This window comes from Homo sapiens, chromosome 5, assembly GCF_000001405.40.
Source record: "Homo sapiens chromosome 5, GRCh38.p14 Primary Assembly".
Taxonomy (NCBI): Eukaryota; Metazoa; Chordata; class Mammalia; order Primates; family Hominidae; genus Homo; species Homo sapiens.
In genome coordinates, this window is record NC_000005.10 from 142,325,255 (window position 1) to 142,345,409 (window position 20,155).

Consider the following 20,155-nt stretch of genomic DNA (forward strand, 5'->3'; position numbering starts at 1 on the left):
CCAGTGGAGGCTGTTGTTGCCTTTTTTTTTTTTTTTTTAATGAATGGAGGGCGGCGGCGACTGCTGCAGCTGGGCCAGCTGCGCGGGCTGCACCCCCTCCCAGCCTGCGAGAGGAGGTAAAGGCCACCTTCACGCCACTGCGGGCCTGGGCAGGAACCGTCAGTGTCGCTGGGGGGTGGGGGACGCTGCGGCCTCCGGATCCCGGGTTGAGAGCAGGGTGGTGGAGGGCACACCTAGATCTGGGGATCTCTGCCCCCCGCAGGCAGTCAAAAGGGGGGGCGGGAGGACCCCTACTGGGGGCCTTCTCTTGCTCTAGACCAGAGACGCCAGGCGGGAGGGGTCTTGAAGCTGCGTTTACCAAAAATTAGGAAAATGTCCATCATTCATATCAAAGGGTGGGGTGAGGATTGGTGAGTGAATCTGGTTCTTTTTCCTGAGGCTGAATCTCTCGTGAGTGCTGGCCGCCCCTCCCCCCATTTCTTGGGTGTAGACAGTGACTGGGCCCAGGCCTCTTCCGGCTCCAGTACCCCCCGGGGCGATTCTGGCAACTCAGCCAGAGGAAGCCTGGCCCTCGCCTCCCAGCGTTCCCCCCGCCCCCCGCCCCAGTGCAATGTCCGCAGTGCCCGGGCGTCTGCCCGCTCTCTGTCGCCCTAGCTAGGTGTCCTTTCTCTGTCCCAGTCGGTTTCCCAGCCCTCACAGGACGCTGGCCTGAGGAGCCTCGGTCCACCGAAGGCCCACGGCCCTTCGCTGTTGTAGGCGCCTTTCCCCAATATCCCCCACCTCTCACCGGCCTCCCCTCCGGGGAAGTGGGAGCGGCCGAGAACTGGCCAGGTGGATGGGTGGAGCCGGCTGCGCCGAGGATGCTGCCGGGGTGGCCTCAGGATTAAATAACAACGGGGCTCTTGAGCCGCAGAGGAAATGGAAATGGCTGGGGATCCTTTCTTCGCTGTTAATGATGGTGGCGTTGGGGGGCGGGGGTGAGGATCAGCTCAAGCCGGTGAAAAGAAAAGCCCCCGCCATTAGGCCTGACTCCAGGAAGGCGGGGAGCCCTCGCAGCAGGCCCTGCTCCTCCCTGGAACGGAGGAGCCTGTAGCCTCCGGGAAGTCCGGGGCGGGGGGTGGCTTTGATGCGTGGATAAGAGCAGAGTCTGGGCCAGGGCTTGGCCCTGAGTCCCTTGTAAGGTCTGTCTTGCCGCTGTTCTGGCCGCACGGGGAGATTGTGTGGCAGTCTTTTTCTTCCTACGCCACTATAGGATTGTGCTTGGCTGTTGTCAGAGGAACCAATGAAAGGCTCCCAGCCCAGGGCTGAGGTCTGGCCTAGGGCTGGGGCTGGGACTCTAGAGGCAGGCAGCCCAAGGTCACCGAGTCCTAGCCTAAAATGCCTTCTCACCATTCGGCTCACCCCTCCGTGTACTTACCCAGCTCCTGAGGGCAGAGCAGACTCTCCCCTAGGGAACCTCAGCCTTCCTTTCAGGGGCGAGACCTTTCTCTAAGACCAAGAGAACTCTTCGCCAGAAAAATGGGTACAGTTGTCCAGGACTTCCTTTTAAGGCTGTTGAAGTTCAGTATCGCCCTCTCTGTCAGCTGTAGAAACTGAGGCCAAGGGTCCTGCACCGGGTATATGGAAGAGCTGGTAAATTGTAGCACTTATTTTCTAGGTCTTTGCAACCTGGCTTTACTTTGCTACCAACCCTTCTCAGCATCACAGACCTAAAAACCTGTTTCTCGCATGTCATTTAAGCATTTTAAACAATGAAAGTTGAAGCAGTAATTTTCCAGCTGGTGCTCACCCATGGCCCTTGCTGAAACAGTCAGAAGGATGGGAATAAATAAATCTTAAATCTATGGCAGAAAAGGAGGATTGGAGGAGCCGCGGGGAGGGGGGTTGCTATCCTGTTTTCTTTATTAGAGAAACTCAGGAGACAGACAGGATTACATTTCATAGTCTTTCTCAGCTTCCCTGAAAGAGAATGCGAGGAGACCCCAGCCTGTGGTGGGGAGAAGGAGGAGCTCCCAGTCTTGAGCTGGGAGGGGCCTCTGATGCTTAAGTACAGCGAGATTCAGAGCGTCTAGAAGGGCTCTGGAGGTCATATTCTGGTTGTGCTTGGAACCTAAGCTGAGGAATGGTTTGGAGCAGCAGTTATGAAAAATTCATTCATTCATTCATTCATTCATTCACTCATTCACTCATTCATTGATCGATTCTGTAGTGGGGCCTGCCCTGACTCTGGAGACTCAGTGGTGAGGGACAGACAGCCCTCCCTGCCCTTGTGAAGCTCACAGTCTTTTGAAAAGACAGACAGACAGGCTGCAACATGAGGTTCTAAGTGCTAGGAGGGAAATGAGCTTTCTCTGGGGTATGTTGCTTGCCGGGGAGGTGGGGGATGGTGGAAGGAGCTGATTCTGATTTGGTCATCAGGGAATGTCTCTGAGAGGGCGGCTTCTAGTTGTGAGTTGAGACCCAAAGACTGAGAAGTGAATCTGAGGGAGGACTGGAGAAACATCTCAGGCAGAGGGAGCATGGGTGGAGGCCGTGTGTGGGAAAAGCCTGGCATATTAGAGGCACTGACAGAAGGCCTCTGTGGCCACAGCTTTATGAGCAAGTTTGAAGTGAGCCTGGTGAGGAATTCAGATGTCATCCCATTAAGGATTTTAAGCAAGGTCTGACACATTCTGATTTGTGTTTTAAACCTCTCCAGCAGCCCTGGGGCCACAGTTTAGGGGGTGAGGGGACAGAACGAAAGGTGGTTGGGGAATGCAGAGCATTTGCTCCATTGCAGGGTGAAGACATCATGTTCCTTCTTTAGGATTGGGTGGCCGGTAGGTCTGTGCTGGATTTGTTTTTCTGCTTCATCTGACTCTGTTCATTCCAAAGCTACTCGATGTCTTCCCCAGGTATAACTTTCCTGCTAGAGGCACATCCTAACAACCTTGCATTCCTGCCAGGGCTAATGACAATCTTTTACCCTGATTCCAATAAAAACAGCGTCACTCCCACCAGATTGTGGCCAGGGGAGTAGAGTAGGTTCAGTTTTGAGCTTTGTTCTTTTATTAATCTCCTAGGCTTGCTAGGACCTGGAGTTAGTGGGATTGAGGAGAGGCAGGAATTCCAATTCAATGACAGTCACTTCTGGAGCACTTACTGTATGCCAGTTGTATGTGCAGCATGTTTTCATATGTAAAATTGTTTCAAAAAGCTGGGTCTTTGGCTGGGTGCGGTGGCTCACGCCTGTAATCCCAGCACTTTGGGAGGCTGAGGTGGGTGGATCACAAGGTCAGGAGTTCAAGACCAGCCTGGCCAAGATGGTGAAACCCCGTCTGTACTAAAAATACAAAAAAATTAGCCGGGCGTGGCGGCATGCGCCTGTAATCCCAGCTACTCCAGAGGCTGAGACGGAGAATTGCTTAAACCTGGAGGGGCGGAGCTTGCAGTGAGCCGGGATCGCGCCACTGCACTCCAGCCTGGGTGACAGAGCGAGACTCCGTCTAAAAAAAAAAAAAAAAAATGGGTCTTGATTGTGTCACCCCTCTTTTGCAGACCAGAAGTGCAAGGCTCCATTTTAAAATTTTATTTATTCCACAAAAAATTGTTTTTTTGCGTGCTATTTTTGTGACACACTTCTTATGTTTCAGGCATAGTGCCAGCTGTTAACAGTTATAGTGAGAAAAGGGACAGACACAATTTTTGCTCTTATAGGGCTTATAGACAGTGGTGATGCCACAGGGAGGGCATGGAGAGGTGAGGATGGCATGTGTTTTCTTCCTACAATCTCCATCAGAACCCCCATTCGTTTCTGTGTTCAGTTGACATTTCTCAACCTTAGTAAGTATTATGCAATGGAAGCAAAGGCCCCCCTACCCAAACAGATTATTTCCTTCCACCTGTGTAGAAATTCTGGACTCCTACCATTTATAGTCAAGTTCGGGAGATAGACATTAAACAAATAGTTGATCAAAGAATCACTTAATTACAGTTAACATCAGCAGTGCATACAAAGTACAGAGAGCAGAGGAGGGGGGCACAGCCTGAGGCCCTCAAGAAGGTTCCCCAGAACTCAGATCTGCAGAATTCAGACTCAGCCAGGCTGAGCTCAGTGGTAGAAGGCCCAGAACCAGGAAAGAGCCTTGGGGACCCTAGTCCTTTGAGGAAGAGACGATGTGTCAGAACAAGAGGTTAGAACTCTGGCCTGGCACTACCTCCTAAGCTTTCCGGTTCAGCGTTTCAGCTGTTTCAGCTTTGGGCTGGACAGCTTGAAAGACAGATGGACAGACACTGCCTACAGATTGCTAGGGTTAAATCCTGCCCTTACATGCTCCATAGTCTCAGACAAGTTATTCAAACTTTATGTGCCTCAGTTTCCCCCTCTATAAAATGAAAACTGATAGTAGTACTTACCACAAAGGGTTGAGCGGAACTTGAATGGGGTATTGAACATAAGGCACTTAGAACAGTGCCCAAGCCAGGCTCGCCTGTAATCCCAGTGCTTTGGGAGGCAGGAGGATCACCTGAGCCAAGGAGTTCAAGACCAGTCTGGGCAGCATAAGGAGACACCCCCATCTCTACAGAAAGAAAAAAAAAAAAAAAGCTGGGTGTAGTGGTACACGTCTGTGGTCCCAGCTACTTAGGAGGCTAAGGTGGGAGGATAGCTTGAGCCAGGGAGGTTGGGGCTGCAGTAAGCCGTGATTGAGCTAATACATATTAGATAATTATTCAACATATGCAACTGTTTTGTTGCAAAGAATTAGTTAGAATTTCAACAGAAGCTCATTTATCTGGGTGCATCAAGAACTCAGAAAAACAATCTAAAAATTTTTTTAAAGTCTTTATTAATAAAAAGTTAAAACAATTATACTGCAGTTGTCATCAATGTTTTAACTAGAACAGTTTTTGCAGGACAAAAGCATTTTGAGGCCGGGCACGATGGCTCACGCCTGTAATCTCAACATTCTGGGAGGCTGAGGCTGGCAGATTGCCTGAGTCCAGGAGTTCAAAAACAGCCTGGGCAACATGGTGAACCCCTGTCTCTACTAAAAATACAAAAAATTAGTCAGGCATGGTGGCGCGTGCCTGTAGTCCCAGCTACTTGGGAAGTGGAGGTGGGAGAATCACCTGAGCTCGGGAAGTCTAGGCTGCAATGAGCCAAAATGGCACCATTGTACCCCAGCCTGGGTGACAGAGTGAGATCCTGTCTCAAAAAAAAAAAAATGTGTTTTTAATTGTGTGGTTGGCTACCTTAAATGGTTGACCAAAGGGTTGATTTTAACCAAGATCAACCCTTGTTTGAAGAGTTTCAGTGGTAACAGGTAGTGTGATATAAGGCTGAATGTGTATGCTGTTGGTTCTCTTGAATCTGTATGGCGGGGGGGGGGACATGTTAAGCACTTGGTGACTTGGCATAATTCTTAATCTCTTCAGGCCTTGACTGTAGGAAGGGAATATACATAGCATCTACTTAGAGGGTTGCTGTAAGCACTAAATGGCATGATGCTTTTCAAGTAACTTAGCCCAGAGCCAGGTGCGTAGCTATTTTTGTGGTCTTCTAGTTGTTTTGTGTAACAGGGAGATGTTAAAGATTTTAACTTGGCTATGGTAACACAGGTCACTAGTTTCCTTTTCCCTGCCCTTCTTCCAAGACCCTGGTTTTCACTCATGAATTTCTATGGCACAGTTCAAATTTGCGTTTGTTGAAATTCACATTTAAATGCAAGCACACTGTCCATTTCAGATGTGAGAGCTAAATCCAGAACAGCCATTGTGAGCAGTGAATATGAAGAATAAAAAAACAAAAAAAAACACAACCCCACCAGTGGCCAGGAGTAACCTCCTTAGTCCTTGCTTGCAAATCACAGAAATTCCCTGGTAACCTTGAACACTCAGATGTGACAGTGGTTGACAAGCTCTGGCTTTGGGAACTCCATAAACGGACTTGGCCCAGGGTACTGCCACTTAGTTTGTTTAGAGATCTTAGGCAAGTTACTGATCACTTAGAGCCTCAATCTTATTTATGTAATGGGCATGATGATTCCAACTCCATAGGGTGGTTCAGTAAACACCTCATAAGTGTCTGTGTCCTTTATATAAAAGAATGGGACCCTCAGGAGAAGCACAGGGATAAGGAATGCCCACCTGGACTCATCTGGATCAGTGACTTTTTGGAGGCCTGATCTTGGCTTTCACACTGCATGGGAGGGATGGCGGCTGGGCCTGTCTTTCTGACTTGACATTTGTGCTTTGGGCCACCTTTACTACTCTGGCCTCCATTCATGCCACTTCATTTGGTCATTCATTCATTCAACCAGTATTTAAGCCCCTTCTAGATACCAGGCAGCATGCTAGACCCCAAGGACACAACAATGAATGAGTTAGAGGAATCCCTTGCTCTCAAATAGCTTAGTCTAATGAGGGGAGCATATAAAATTTAAACATCCACTGGGCGCGGTGGCTCACGCTTGTAATCCCAGCACTTTGGGAGGCCAAGGTGGGCGGATCACCTGAGGTCGGGAGTTTGAGACCAGCCTGACCATCCCTTGAGACACGACTCATGGGATGAATCTCAGTTTGTGTAGTGATTAAGCGCACAAGTCTTGGAGTCAGCTTGGCCTGGGTTAGATTCTCTCTCATCTCCTCTACCTATCTACTACCTCTGTGACTTCAGGCAAGTCACCTAATGTCACTAAGCTTCAGGTCCTTTATCTATCAAATAGTGTAAATACGGGAGCACTCATCTCATTGGGTCTTCCACCCATTCCTTTATTTGAGAAATGTTTATGGAATGCCTACTGGGCTCTGTTTCGGGCACTGAGAATTCAGAAGTGAACAAGACAGATAAGGCTTTGCTCTCGTGGAACGTACATTCTAGTTAGGGGAGAGGGATGGTAGTTAAACAAATAATTAAGATCATTTCAGATAGTGATACATGCTCTGGAGGTATCAGGGGGCTGTGGTCAAGCAAGGAGGTGAGGGTGGTAGGGAAATCAGGCAGGTGATGCCTGAGCTGAGACTCAAATGAAGGAACAGCGCTTTACACAGAAGGGCTAGCTGGTGCAAGGGCCTGAGGCAGAAACAAGCGTGGTGTATGTGAGGAGCAGAAGGAAGGTTGATTTTGTTGGAGCTAAGTAGCCAAGGGAGAGGGCTGTTTGAGAAAGGCAGTAGAAATAGGCAGAGCCAGGTCATAGGGCCTTGAAGGCCGTGGTTAATAGTTTGCATTTTAAGATCGATGAAGAATCACTGAATGGTTTTCAGCAGGGGACCAATATGAGCTGATTTCCACAAAGATTTAAAAGAGATTTTATATATATAAAATCAATAACTTAGCACAGAGCCTGGCACAGAGTGATGTTCAGTATATGTTAGTTGCTGCTACTGTTATTATTATTGTTATTATTTTTTTTTTTTTGAGACTGAGTCTTGCTCTGTCACCCAGGCTGGAGTGCAGTCACTATAACACCTCTGCCTCCCTGGTTCAAGCAATTCTCCCACCTCAGCCTCCCGAGTAGCTGGGACTACAGGCGCGTGCCACCACACACGCCCAGCTAATTTTTTGTATTTTTAGTTGAGACGAGGGTTTCACCATGTTAGCCAGGATGGTCTCGATCTCCTGACCTCGTGATCTGCCCACCTCGGCCTCCTAAAGTGCTGGGATTACAGGTGTGAGCCACCGTGCCCGGCCTACTGTTATTATTGTTATTATCGATGCCCTTAAAGAGCCTAAAAATCTTCATCCTCCTTAAGGATAGGAAGCCAAGGCATAGTTATTACCATCCACGTGTAAAGTCAATCAAATCAGAGAACAGGATGCAGATTTTGTTAATCAAAGGAAATGCTTTTGGTCCTTTTCCCAAGTGTGAATTTTAAAGCAGAGGGTTTTCTCTATGATTAGCAATCATCTGGAACCAACTAAACTCCTTCAGCCCCACTTTGCCAAAATGTCTGGAACTCAGTCACTTAGGTGCCATTGCCTATGGCCCCAGCCACCATTTAGGACCCTTGGAAAGGCTCCTGATTGATTGTTCAATCCAGCTGCCTTCGCTCTGGGTCTGACGGGCCCAGATGGGGAGAGGCTCCCTATCCTCCACCTTGAGTGCCCACCAGGTTTGCTGGGATACCTGGCCAATCTGCCATCGCTGACTTGGAGGTTCTCCCACAATGTTCATGTCATTAAAAGCCCAGGGGCTGTTTTGATGTTTCAGAGAGGCCCTTGAAGGAAGCTGCCTTGAATTCTCTCTGACCCAGAGAAATGGAAAGTGAGTAATATGTGAATGGGCTGGGCACAGTGGCTCACACCTGCAATCCCAGAACTTTGTGAGGCCTAGGTGGGAAGATCGCTTAAGCCCAGGGGTTCAAAACCAGCCTGGACAACATAGCAAGACCTTGTTTCTACAAAATAAATTTAAATTTAAAAATATATATGTGAATGAATGATTGCAAGCTGTGTAATGAAACTGGGATAAGCTTCTTGGGGTATATAGTATTTGTTTCTGGACAAAGTGCTTTACACCTGGTGAGGATTTTTCATTCCTTCATTCATCAGTATTTACTGAGCTTCTGCTAGGTGCCAGCCACTGTATAGCAGTTAGCAAAAAGGCTGCCATTCTCACCCTCATGGAGCTTCCAATCTAGTGGGACGTACACGCATCAAATAACTGCACAAGTATGGTCAGGTGTAGTGGTTCACACCTCTAACCCTAGCACTTTGGGACCAGCCTGGGCAACATAGCAAGACCCCATCTCTACAAAAAATTAAAAAATTAGCCAGGTGTGGTGGTGTGTGCCTGTAGTCCCACCTACTTGGGAGGCTGAAGCAGGAGGATCCCTTGAGCCCAGGAGTTCATGGCTGCAGGGAACCATGATTGTACTACTGCACTCCAGCCTGGGTGACAGAGCAAGACCTTGTCTCTAAAAAAAAAGAAAAATTAATTGCATAAATATAAGTAGAAAATGACAACAGCAATAAGTCTTCTGCAGGAGAGGCAGTAATGTTCTAAAGGTATATAATGAAGACAGAGTTTGGAAAAGTTTCTCTAGTAAGCGACATTTCAGCTCAGAGCTAAAAGATCAGTGGTATTAAGTGGGGTTTGGAAGGTGGAGTGAGAAATATTGCAGGCAGAAGACAGCATATGCAAAGGTCTTGAGGCTAGAGGGATCACAGTGAATCCAAGGAAATGCAAAAAGACCAGTGTGACTACGGGGATGAAAATGAGGTGGACCCTGGTCCCACGAAGAGCTAGAAATATGGGGGACAGGGCCCATGCTGAGGACAGATCACAAAAGGCTTTGGAGGCTCTCTCAAGGATCTGCACTTTTATGCTTCTTGAGGACAATGGGTTACTATTAAAGGATTTGAAGCCATGGATATGTGTGTAAGTATTTGTGTTAGGGGGTGACAAGATCTAATTTGCATTTTGAAAAGCTCATTCTGGCCACAGAGTGAAGAATGACTTGCAAGGACCACAATGGGTTCTGGTAACTGCCCATCCCCACACTGCCCCTTCAGTTCTAGGAGTGACAGTGGAACCCTGTTGTTCCTGGTTCCAGGGTGCTGCACCATCCCTGTAGTTTCCCTACACTCTGCAAAGTATGTCTATTATGTTTGTAAATAGTTTCTTTATCAAATGACCTCTCCTCAAATGAACAAATTTGTTCTGCTTGACTTTATGGAGAAATTATATAGGCTGGAAAAAAACAGGAGGAAAGTTTAGCAGTCACTTACCCTAACTCCTTTGTTTTGCTTGTGATACACATGTATTGCTGGATTTTGTTTCCTAGCAAGTTGGACAAGCTTTGTCTTTTCTCTATTTTCGCTACAGTGGATAAGCTTCTTGGGGTATATAGTGGAGTACATTTCAGATTGCTTGCGTTAATATGAGTATTGAAAATTATTAAATTAGTCAGATTTCCTTCTATCTTATTCTCTTCTCTTTGTCCTGGTTTTATTCTTGTGTTTCTTTCTACTTTCCTGTCTTCTTATGGATTGGGCTTTTTTTTTTTTTTTAACCATCTCTTTTTTTCCCATTGATTGCCTAGTAAGTTACAGTCTCTCCATCTCTTCTTTTAGTGGATCCTCTAGATATTTAAAAAGTTAATCACAGGCCGGGCGTGGTGGTGGCTCACACCTGTAATCCCAGCACTTTAAGAGGCCGAGGTGGGTAGATCACCTGAGGTCAGGAGTTCGAGACCAGCCTGGCCAACCTGGTGAAACCCTGTTTCTACTAAAAATACAAAAATTAGCCGGGCGTGGTGGCAGGCACCTGTAGTCCCAGCTACTCGGAAGGCTGAGGCAGGAAAATCACTTGAACCTGGGAGGCGGAGGTTGCAGTGAGCCCAGATCATGCCACTGCGCTTCAGCCTGGGTGACAAGAGTAAGACCCTGTCTGAAAAAAAAAAAAAAAAAAAAAAAAAGTTAATCACAGTTTCTATCCTCCTAAAGAATACAAGGACCTGGCCAGGTGCGGTGGCTCATGCCTGTAATCCCAGCACTTTGGGAGGCCAAGGAGGGTAGATCACCTGAAGTCAGGAGTTTAAGACCAGCCTGGCCAACATGCTGAAACCCCATCTCTACTAAAAATACAAAAATTAGCTGGGTGTGGTGGCGCGTCCTGTAATCACAGCTACTTGGGAAGCTGAGGCAGGAGAATGGCTTGAGCCCAGGAAGTGGAGGTTGCAGTGAGCAGAGATCGCACCACTGCACTCCATCCTGAGTGACAGAGCGAGACTCCATCCCCCACAAAAACAAAACAAAACAAATAAAACCTGAATACAAGACTCTTAAATTGCATTAACTTCAATCTCTGCCCTCTCCCTTTACCTCAACACATATACACGTTTATATTCTGTAGTCCGGTGTTTTCATTCTTTTTTTTCTTCCCTTAGGCCAGATTAGACAGTATTATTGTTTCTTTATACAGTCAAATGTTGCTCACATTGACCCACAGAACTACCAATCTCTTTTTTCACTGTTCCTTGTTATAAGACCATATGTCTAAGATAGACTTCCTTCTGCCTGAAATTCATTCTTTAGAATTTCCTTTAGTAAGAGTCTGTTGGTAGTAAATTCTGTTAGTTTTTATTGGGTTGAAAATGACTTTATTTCATCTTCATATTTGAATTCTTGAATAGAATTCTTGGTTGCTAGTTGTTTTGCTGCAGCACAATGAGGAAAATACCATTCTGCTGAATTCCAGCTTCCGTTGTGCCTACTAAGAAGTATGCAGTGAGTCTAATTGTATCTTTTTAAAAATTGATCTGGGCTGGGCACGGTGGCTCACACCTGTAATCCCAGCACTTTGGGAGGCTGAGGTAGGAGGATTGCTTGGGTCCAGGAGTTTGAGACCAGCCTGGACGACATGGCGAAACCCCATCTCTACAAAAAATAAGAAAATTAGACTGGGCGTGGTGGCCAAGGCCTGTAATCCCAGCACTTTGGGAGGCCGAGGTGGGCAGATCACGAGGTCAGGAGATCGAGACCCTCCTGGCTAACACGGTGAAACCCCGTCTCTACTAAAAATACAAAAAAATTAGCCGGGCATGGTGGTGGGTGCCTGTAGTCCCAGCTACTTGGGAGGCTGAGGCAGGAGAATGGCGTGAACCTGGGAGGCAGAGCTTGCAGTGAGCCGAGCGCCACTGCAGTCTAGCCTGGGCAACAGAGCAAGACTCCGTCTCAACAACAACAACAACAAAAAGCCGGCTTGTGGTGGCTCTTGCCTGTAGTCTCAGGTACTCAGGAGGCTGAGGCAGAAAGGATCGCTTGAGCCCAGGAGGCGGAGGTTGCAGTAAGCTGAGATCACGCCACCACACTCTAGCCTGGGTGACAGAGTGAGACTCCATCTCAAAAAAATAAAATAAAAATTAAAATTGATCTGGGCTAGGCACAGTGGCACACGGCTGTAATTCTAGCACTTTGGGAGGTGAAGGCAGGATTGCTTGAGCCTAGGAGTTCCAGAACAGCCTGGGCAGCATAGCAAGACCCTGTTTCTACAAAAAGTAAAAATTGGCCGGGCGCAGTGGCTCACGCCTGTAATCCCAGCACTTTGGGAGGCCAAGGTGGGCAGATCACGAGGTCAGGAGATCGAGACCATCCTGGCTAACATGGTGAAACCCCGTCTCTACTAAAAATACAAAAAACAATTAGCCGGGCGCCGTTGCAGGCACCTGTAGTCCCAGGTACTCGGGAGGCTGAGGCAGGAGAATGGCTGAACCCGGGAGGCGGAGCTTGCAGTGAGCCGAGATCGCGCCACTGCACTCCAGCCTGGGCGACAGAGCGAGACTCCATTTCAAAAAATAAATTTAAAAAATAAAAAATGAATGAATAAATAAATAAATAAAATAAAAATTGACTGGGCATAGTGGGATGCATCTGTGGTCCCAACTACTCAAGAGGCTGAGGTGGGCCAGGCACGGTGGCTCACGCCTGTAATCCCAGAACATTGGCAGGCTGAGTTGGGTGGATCACCTGAGGTCAGGAGTTCGAGACCAGCCTGGCTAACATGGTGAAACCCCATCTCTACTAAAAATATAAAAATTAGCTGGGCATGGTGGTGGGTGCCTGTAATCCCAGCTACTCAGGAGGCTGAAGCAGGAGAATCACTTGAACCCGGGAGGCAGAGGTCGCAGTGAGCTGAGATCATGCCAGTGTACTCCAGCCTGGACAATAGAACCAGACTCTGTCCAAAAAAAAAAGAAAAAAGAGGCTGAGGTGGGAGGATTCCTTGAGCCCAGGAGTTTGAGGCTGCAGTGAACTGTGATCCCATCACTGCAGTCCAGCCTGAGGGACAAAGCAAGATCTTTTTTTTTTTTTTTGTATTTTTAGTAGAGACGGGGTTTCACTGTGTTCGCCAGGATGGTCTCGATCTCCTGACCTCGTGATCCTCCCGCCTCTGCCTCCCAAAGTGCTGGGATTACAGGCGTGAGCCACCGCGCCCGGCCAAAGCAAGATCTTATCTAAAAAAAAACAAAGAAAACAAAAGTGATATGTATTTGTCCCAGGCCCTCTGCTGTTTCACTGTAATATATCTAGATGTGAACTTTTTTTTCTTTATCCTGGACCCCTGGAATTTCTGGACCCAGAGTTTGGTGTTTTACAACAATTTGTAAAAATTCTCAAGGCCATAACTAGTGTGAACCTAGGGCGCAAAATTTAAGGATGTGCTCATTATGGAGCGTGTGTAAATATAAGCCTGGCCCTGAGAGTGAGTGTCTACATTAAATTTTGTAGTCTACACATATCACTTACCTCACTCTAGTCTCTGTCCTATTCTATATAAATACTTCCTCTTCCTTGTTCTTTTCTTTATTAAATACAAATATGTATTGGAACTCTCGTTTTATCTTCCAATGTCACATATGTTGCTCTTTGTATTTTTTTAATCTCTTTGTGTCTCTGGGTCACATTCTAGATTTCTGCAGATCCATCTTCCAGTAAATGAATTCGGCCTTTAACAGTGTTTAGGCTGGGCCTGGTGGCTCACCCTGTAATCCCAGCACTTTGGGAAGCTGAGGCAGAAGGATTGCTTGAACCCAGGAGTTCAAGACCAGCTTGAGCAACATAGCGAGACCCCCATCTCTACAAAAAATTAAAAAATTAACTGGTCATGGTGGCATGCACCTGTGGTTCCAGCTACTCAGGAGGCTGAGATGGGAGGATTGCTTGAGCCTGGGAGGTAAGGCTGCAGCGAGCCATGGTCACACCACTGCACTCCAGCCTGGGCAACAACAGAGTAAGACCTTGTCTCAAAAAAACAAAAACAAAAAGTGTTTAGTCTGTTAATCTGCCATTTAAACCATGCTAGGTTTTTTTGTTTTGTTTTGTTTTTTCCAAATTGGCTTAGTTATTTTACAGCCTTTTGCTCCTGGCTCATGTATTTAAGCCTCACATTTACTTCTTGAAATATAGTAAATATACCTATTTATATTCTGTGCTTGATCATTTCTATATCTCTTATTTTTGTGGGTCTGATGATGCTGTCTATTGTTTTTGTTGGTTCTCGCTCATGGTGCCTTATTTCCTGTGTGTTTTGTGATTTTAACTTTAGGCTCAAGTTTCTTGAAACTTTATGGGCATTTCTTTGAGGTATGGGCTGAAATCAGTGATCTTGACTCACCACAACCTCCACCTTCCGGGTTCACCAGATTCACGTGCCTCAGCCTCCTGAGTAGCTGTGATTACAGGGGTGTGCCACCACGCCTGACTAATTTTCTTTTTTTTTTTTTTGAGACAGATTCTTGCTCCATCACCCAGGCTAGAGGGCAATGGCATAATTTCGGCTCACTGCAACCTCTGCTTCCCAAGTTCAAGCGATTCTCCTGCCTCAGCCTAAGTAGCTGGGATTATAGGCATGTGCCATCACGCCCAGCTAATTTTTGTATTTTTAGTAAAGACGGGATTTCAACATGTTGTCCAGGCTGTCTCAAACTCCTGACCTCGTGATCCACCTGCCTCAGCCTCCCAAAGTGCTGGGATTACAGGCATGACCCATTGTAATTTTTGTATTTTTAGTAGAGACAGGGTTTCACCACGTTGGCCAGGCTGGTCTTGAACTCCTGACCTCAAGTGATCCGCCCACCTTGGCCTATATTTACTTTTAACAGCTATATTTACTGGGGTTTATTCCTATTAGGAACTCCTACTAGCCACAGTGGCTCACACCTGTAGTCCCAGCACTTTGGGAAGCCTGAGGCAGGAGGATTGCTTGAGCCCAGTACGTCACGACCAGCCTGGGCAGCAGAGCTCCTTGTGCAAGAAACTTTGTCTCCTGTCCCCCTCACCTGCTGTGTTAATCAAAATGGAAGCTTCAAGTCATCAAGTTGTAGCAGACATCCTCAATCTAAAGCTGTCTTGTGCACTCACTTATGTTTCAGAATTCCCTTTTTCATTTCTTTTGTTGGTCTCTGAATATTCCTTACTTTTCTGCCAGTTCAGCAATGCATTTTTGAAAAAAAAAAAAGAGAGAGAGATTTCATTCAATGTTTGTCTGTGTTTTTTTTTTTATTCGGAAGGCCATCTGATAGTATGGCTACCATACTATCAGAAACTGAACAAATTCCTTTACATTTTTGCAGAGAGAAAGAGGAGTAGAATGATGTAGTATAAGAGTTTTGAGGCCGGGCATGGTGGCTCACGCCTGTAATCCCAGCACTTTGGGAGGCCAAGGCAGGCAGATCACCTGAGGTCAGGAGTTCAAGACCAGCCTGCCAACAGGGAGAAACCTCGTCCTTACTAAAAATACAAAAATTAGCTGGGCGTGGTGGCACGTGCCTGTAATCCCAGCTAATTGGGAGGCTGAGGCAGGAGAATCGCTTGAACCTGGGAGGCGGAGGTTGCAGTGAGCTGAGATCATTTCACTGTACTTCAGCCTGGACGACAGAGTGAGACTTTGTCTCAAAAAAAAAAAAAAAAAAAAATTTTGAGGCTAGACCATACTGGGTTCAAATCCACATTTAATACTAGGGCTGCCATAACAAAGTACCACAGGCTGGGTGGTTTAAACAACAGAAATGTATTTTCTCTCAATTCTGGAGGCAAGAAGTCTGAGATGAAGGTGTTGACAGGATTGGTGTCTTCTGAGACTGCACTTCTTGGCCTGGGGGTGGCTGTCTTCTCCTTGTGTCTTCACGTGGACTCCCCTTGCTCTGTGTTGTAATTTTCTCTTGCTACTATTAGGACACTAATCATATTGGGTTAGGGCTCACCCTGGTGACCTCATTTTATCATAGTTACTTCTTTAAAGATCTATCTCCAAATATGGTCCTATTCTGAGTTGGTAGCGGCTAGAACTTCAACATATTAATTGGGTGGAATGCAGTTCAGCTCATAACAGGAGACAAGAAGCAGAAACTGAGAGGGGAGTGCGGAGGATGATAAAAAAGGGGATCCCGCAGTGGCTTACACCTGTAATCCCAGCACTTTGGGAGGCTGAGGTGGGCGGATCATGAGGTCAGGAGTTCAAGACCAGCCTGGCCAACATAGTGAAACCCCGTCTCTACTGAAAATACAAAAAATTACCCGGGCGTGGTGGCGGGCGCCTGTAATCCCAGCTGCTCAGGAGGCTGAGGCAGGAGAATTGCTTCAACTAGGGAGGCAGAGGTTGCGGTGAGCCGAGATCACGCCGTTGCCCTCCAGCCTGGGTGACAGTGCGAGACTCTGTCTCAAAAAAAAAAAAAAAAAAAAAAGTGGGAGTCCCCCAGAGAAACTGAAGGAGGAGAAAGGTGCTAGGAGAGGGATATCAAGTGTTTAGTGTTGTAGAGAGGTTGTGAGGGGTAAGAATGGAGGAAAGAGGGGCTTAGCAATGAGCACTCCCTGAGGATTACCTACGAGGAAGCCCTCCCAGCAGAGGCAGAGGCCAAGCCAGCGTGGTGAGGAGCACAGGGGAAGCCGAAGTCGAAGTGGGAGATACTCTGTAGAGGTTCACTGAGTGAATACAATGCACTTCTGTTCCTCACTCCTCTAATATTCCATGGCTCTGGGACTTGGTTTCTCCTTAGAAACTCTGAGGTAAAGGCTGCATTCTAGGACCCTGACCCTGAACTTACTATTCATCATATGCAACTGGGTCTTGAGGATGAGCCAGGAAGAATAGAATATGTTTTCTCCTGGGAAGCCAGAGAGAGAGAGAGAGAGGGAAAAGAAGGGGGAGAAGGAGGAGGAGGAGGAGGAGGAGGAGGGAGGCAAAGAAGAAAGAACTGAGAGAAAAACAAACCAAACCACATTGTCACTAATCTGCCACAGCCATAAAGAAAAGAATGGGGTGACATAGGAAGTTAGAGAGGCCTTGGGGGCCATTTTGCAATTTTCCTGTCTGCCCTCCAGAAAGAAAGAGGTTGTTTATTCAGTCACTTATTTTAAAAAAAAATTCTAATTAAGCACCTACTCTAAGTTGGATGCTAGGCTAGGCCAGAGGGAAACGTCAGTGAAGCAAATATCAAATATTTATTGACTGCTTATGTAACACCATGTCCTGTGCTAAGCACTTGGTGTACATCCTGCTCTCAAGGACAGTCTAAGACGGGGGCTGTTGGTGTGGCTTTTATACCAACGGGGAAATGGGCTAACTGAAGCTTAGGATGGTTCGGAAACTCACTGCAGGTCACAGAGTGATCAGTAAGCCAGTTGGACACAGCCCAGGGGCACCTTTTCCAGCTCTGTCTTCACCCAGGCCCCTAAGGCTTCTCCCAGGGCACAGTCAGTGGCTGCTTGGAGTTGTGGATGAGTCAGGACGAGCTGGGGATAAGCAGTCCCAGTTCCTGCCTGCCCATCCCGTCCTTGGCCTGAGAAAGGACAGGCACTGAGGACGGATGTGGGCCGGGACAATAGTGCCAAGTCACTGCTGATGAGAGGCCTGTGTTCACCTCCTCCCAGCCACCGCCTGAAGTCCATTTCAGCTACTGTCGTTGCTGTCACACACACCCGTCCCAGCACCACTGAAAACACCTGGGATTGTGTCTCAGGAACCAAAAATGGCGTTTCCTTCCTCCTCTGGGGTTTCCTCAAGGGTACTTGAGAGCACAACCGCTTTCTGAAATTCGATTCCCAAATGCCCAGGATTTCCCCTGTGGTTCCAGAGAAAGGGAGATATGTGGCTTCTGTGAACACCTATTGAGTGGGATCACAAGGAAGCATCCCGTGACCTTTCTTCTATTTTGAGATGAGGACGTAGGTGGCTGTGCTGCTGACCAGTGAGTGAGTCAGTGGGCCCAGGGACTGAACATTGTGTATAGGTGGAGAACTTGGGAGGCAGAACCACATTTAAAGAAATGCTTCTGGTCATTCTGGTCTAATTTGGCAATCAAATAATTTTAAAACTGAAGGAGTCCACAGAGATTTGTATACAAGAATGTTTATCGTAATGTTTTAGTAGTAACAACCTAAGTGTCCACCTGTAGGGGACGGAGGAGATCAACAATGGCTGATCTCTACAAAGGAAAGCTATGTTGTCATTAAGCAGTGTGTGGTGGATCTATTAGGTGTGGATACAAAAAGGTGTTCAAGACTGTTAAGAGAACAAAGCAAGACACAGAACAGTGCATATGTGTATATGCAGAAGTGTGTATATGCTTCTGTGTAGCCATGGGTGATTTCCGGAAATGCCCATGAGAAACTGCTAACTTGAATTGGCTTACTTTCAGAGTAGGAATGGGGGTTTGGGTGGGGAGTGAGACATTTACTCTTCACTTTACACTCTTCTGTACTTTTACATTTTTTAAAGTAATGAGCATCTATTGCTTTTATAATACAATGATAATAATAAAGTAGAAGAAAGAAAGGTTTAAGAAGGCTCACAAACCAAAGGTACCAAAACAATTCAGCATAGCATCCAGGAGTGCTGGGGGCAGGAGGAATGATGAAGTGGGGTCGGAGATGAACTTGCATGTTGGAAACTGTCCGTAGCCACTGCTTGCAGAGCTATACTTTGAACAATCAAGGTTGGTCACAGAGGCAGGGACTGGCAGGAAATCACTATTTGCAAGGCTGATCAGTGACAGAAAGAATAAAACAAAGTCAAGGCCAAAGTTCAGCTCCAAAAACAGGGATTGAATTGTCTATTAAAATAATAGCCAAGGCCGGGCACTGTGGCTCATGCCTGTAACCCCAGCACTTTGGGAGGCCAAGGTGGATGGATCGCCTGAGGTCAGGAGTTTAAAGCTGGGGAGATCTGCTGGAGGTGTGAGAATCTCCAGGTGTGTGATCTTGGCTCACTGCAACTTCCACCTCCTGGGTTCAAGTGATACTCCTGACTCAGCCTCCCAAGTAGCTGGGACTACAGGTGTGCGCCACCACGCCCAGCTAATTTTTGTATTTTTAGTAGATATGGGGTTTCACCATGTTGGCCAGGATGGTCTCGATCTCCTGACCTCGTGATATGCCCACCTCAGCCTCCCAAAGTGCTGGGATTATAGGCGTGAGCCACCACAACTGGCTGATGAATTCAATTTTCATTCCAAACCCCCTTTCTTCCCAAGATGGTAAAGACTAGAACAAGAATTCGTAAGAACTCTTTCTATGCTCCTAATATCAAAGTGACTTTTTCCCCCTAAAGCAATCCTATTCTCTGCCCTAAAGTCTGGAGCATGCACCAACTGGTAAGGGCATTTGTCAAACATTTTATTATAGATTGTATCTTTTAATAAAAAATACTATTGTGACCATTAATCTATTTATTTGTTCTATAAATATTTATTGAGTGGCACTATGGCTGTGAATTTTCAGCTGTCGTGCTCACAATTGAGTGGAGGACACAGACAAGTTAACAGGTGGTAATGATATGACAAATGAGCATATGAAGAGGATAAGCACCAGGTGTTGTGCGATCTCCTTGGAGGCATATCCACCTAGCCTTGGAAGGAGAGGTGACAGGAAGGGAAGTTTCCCTGATAAGAATAATGAAGTGTTAGCTACACCGGTATAAGGGTGAGGATGGGGATATGTGTTCAATTGCGGGGGGAAAAAAACCCTTCTAGTTTAAAGACCTGGACACTGGAGAAGCCTAGGCTTATCGAGGAACAGAGGAGGTGGTGTCAAGGAACAATTTATAATTTAGAGGCTGGGAATGGTAGGGGAGAGTGGGAAATAAAGAGTGGTTGATTAATGGGGACAAGTATATACTTGGAAGAAATAAGACTTGGTGTTCAATAGATCAGTAGGATGACTATAGCTAACATCAACCAATTGTACATTTCAAAATAGCTGGAAGAAAATAATCAAATGTTCTAAGCAAAAAGAAAATATCAGTATTTAAGATGATGGATATCCCAATTACCCTGACCTGATTATATGAATACATGAAATTATCACATGTACCCTGAAAATATGTACATTTATTAATGTAGCAACAACAAAAAAATGAAGCTAAAAAAAAAAAAATCTAGAATTTTATACCTAGCAAAACTATCCATCAGAATATGAAAACAGGCAGGGTGCAGTGGCTCACATCTGTAATCTCAGCACTTTGGGAGGCCAAGACGGGCAGATCACCTGAGGTCAGGAGTTTGAGACCAGCCTAGCCAACATGGTGAAACCCCCGTCTCCACTAAAAATACAAAAATTAGCCAGGTGTGGTGATGCGTCCTTATAATCCCAGCTACTCGGAAGGCTGAGGCAGGAGAATTGCTTGAACCCTGGGGGGTGGGGGTTGCAGTGAGCTGATACTTACTTCTGTGTATCTCT

General features: G+C 46.7%; 1 long non-coding RNA gene across 1 annotated transcript in view, besides 2 other annotated features; it reads left to right on the top strand.

Moving 5' to 3' along the window:
• The window catches only part of SPRY4-AS1 (SPRY4 antisense RNA 1), a 138,762-nt gene continuing 118,645 nt past the window's right edge, over positions 39-20,155 (top strand). Inside the window, exon 1 of the long non-coding RNA NR_120664.1 lies at positions 39-116. This is a non-coding gene — a long non-coding RNA (SPRY4 antisense RNA 1). The remainder of the gene's footprint in view (positions 117-20,155) is intronic.
• Positions 6,200-6,699: an enhancer, noted in NCBI's record as "H3K4me1 hESC enhancer chr5:141711019-141711518 (GRCh37/hg19 assembly coordinates)". NCBI's record gives its function as "activates a minimal SCP1, AML or CMV promoter by ChIP-STARR-seq in naive H9 embryonic stem cells {active_cell/tissue: H9 hESC(naive)}" and the evidence as "EXISTENCE:reporter gene assay evidence [ECO:0000049][PMID:30033119]".
• Positions 17,025-18,224: an enhancer, noted in NCBI's record as "CDK7 strongly-dependent group 2 enhancer chr5:141721844-141723043 (GRCh37/hg19 assembly coordinates)". NCBI's record gives its function as "activates an origin of replication core promoter dependent on BRD2, BRD4, P300/CBP, MED14 and CDK7 cofactors, with strong dependence on CDK7, by STARR-seq in HCT116 cells {active_cell/tissue: HCT116}" and the evidence as "EXISTENCE:reporter gene assay evidence [ECO:0000049][PMID:35650434]".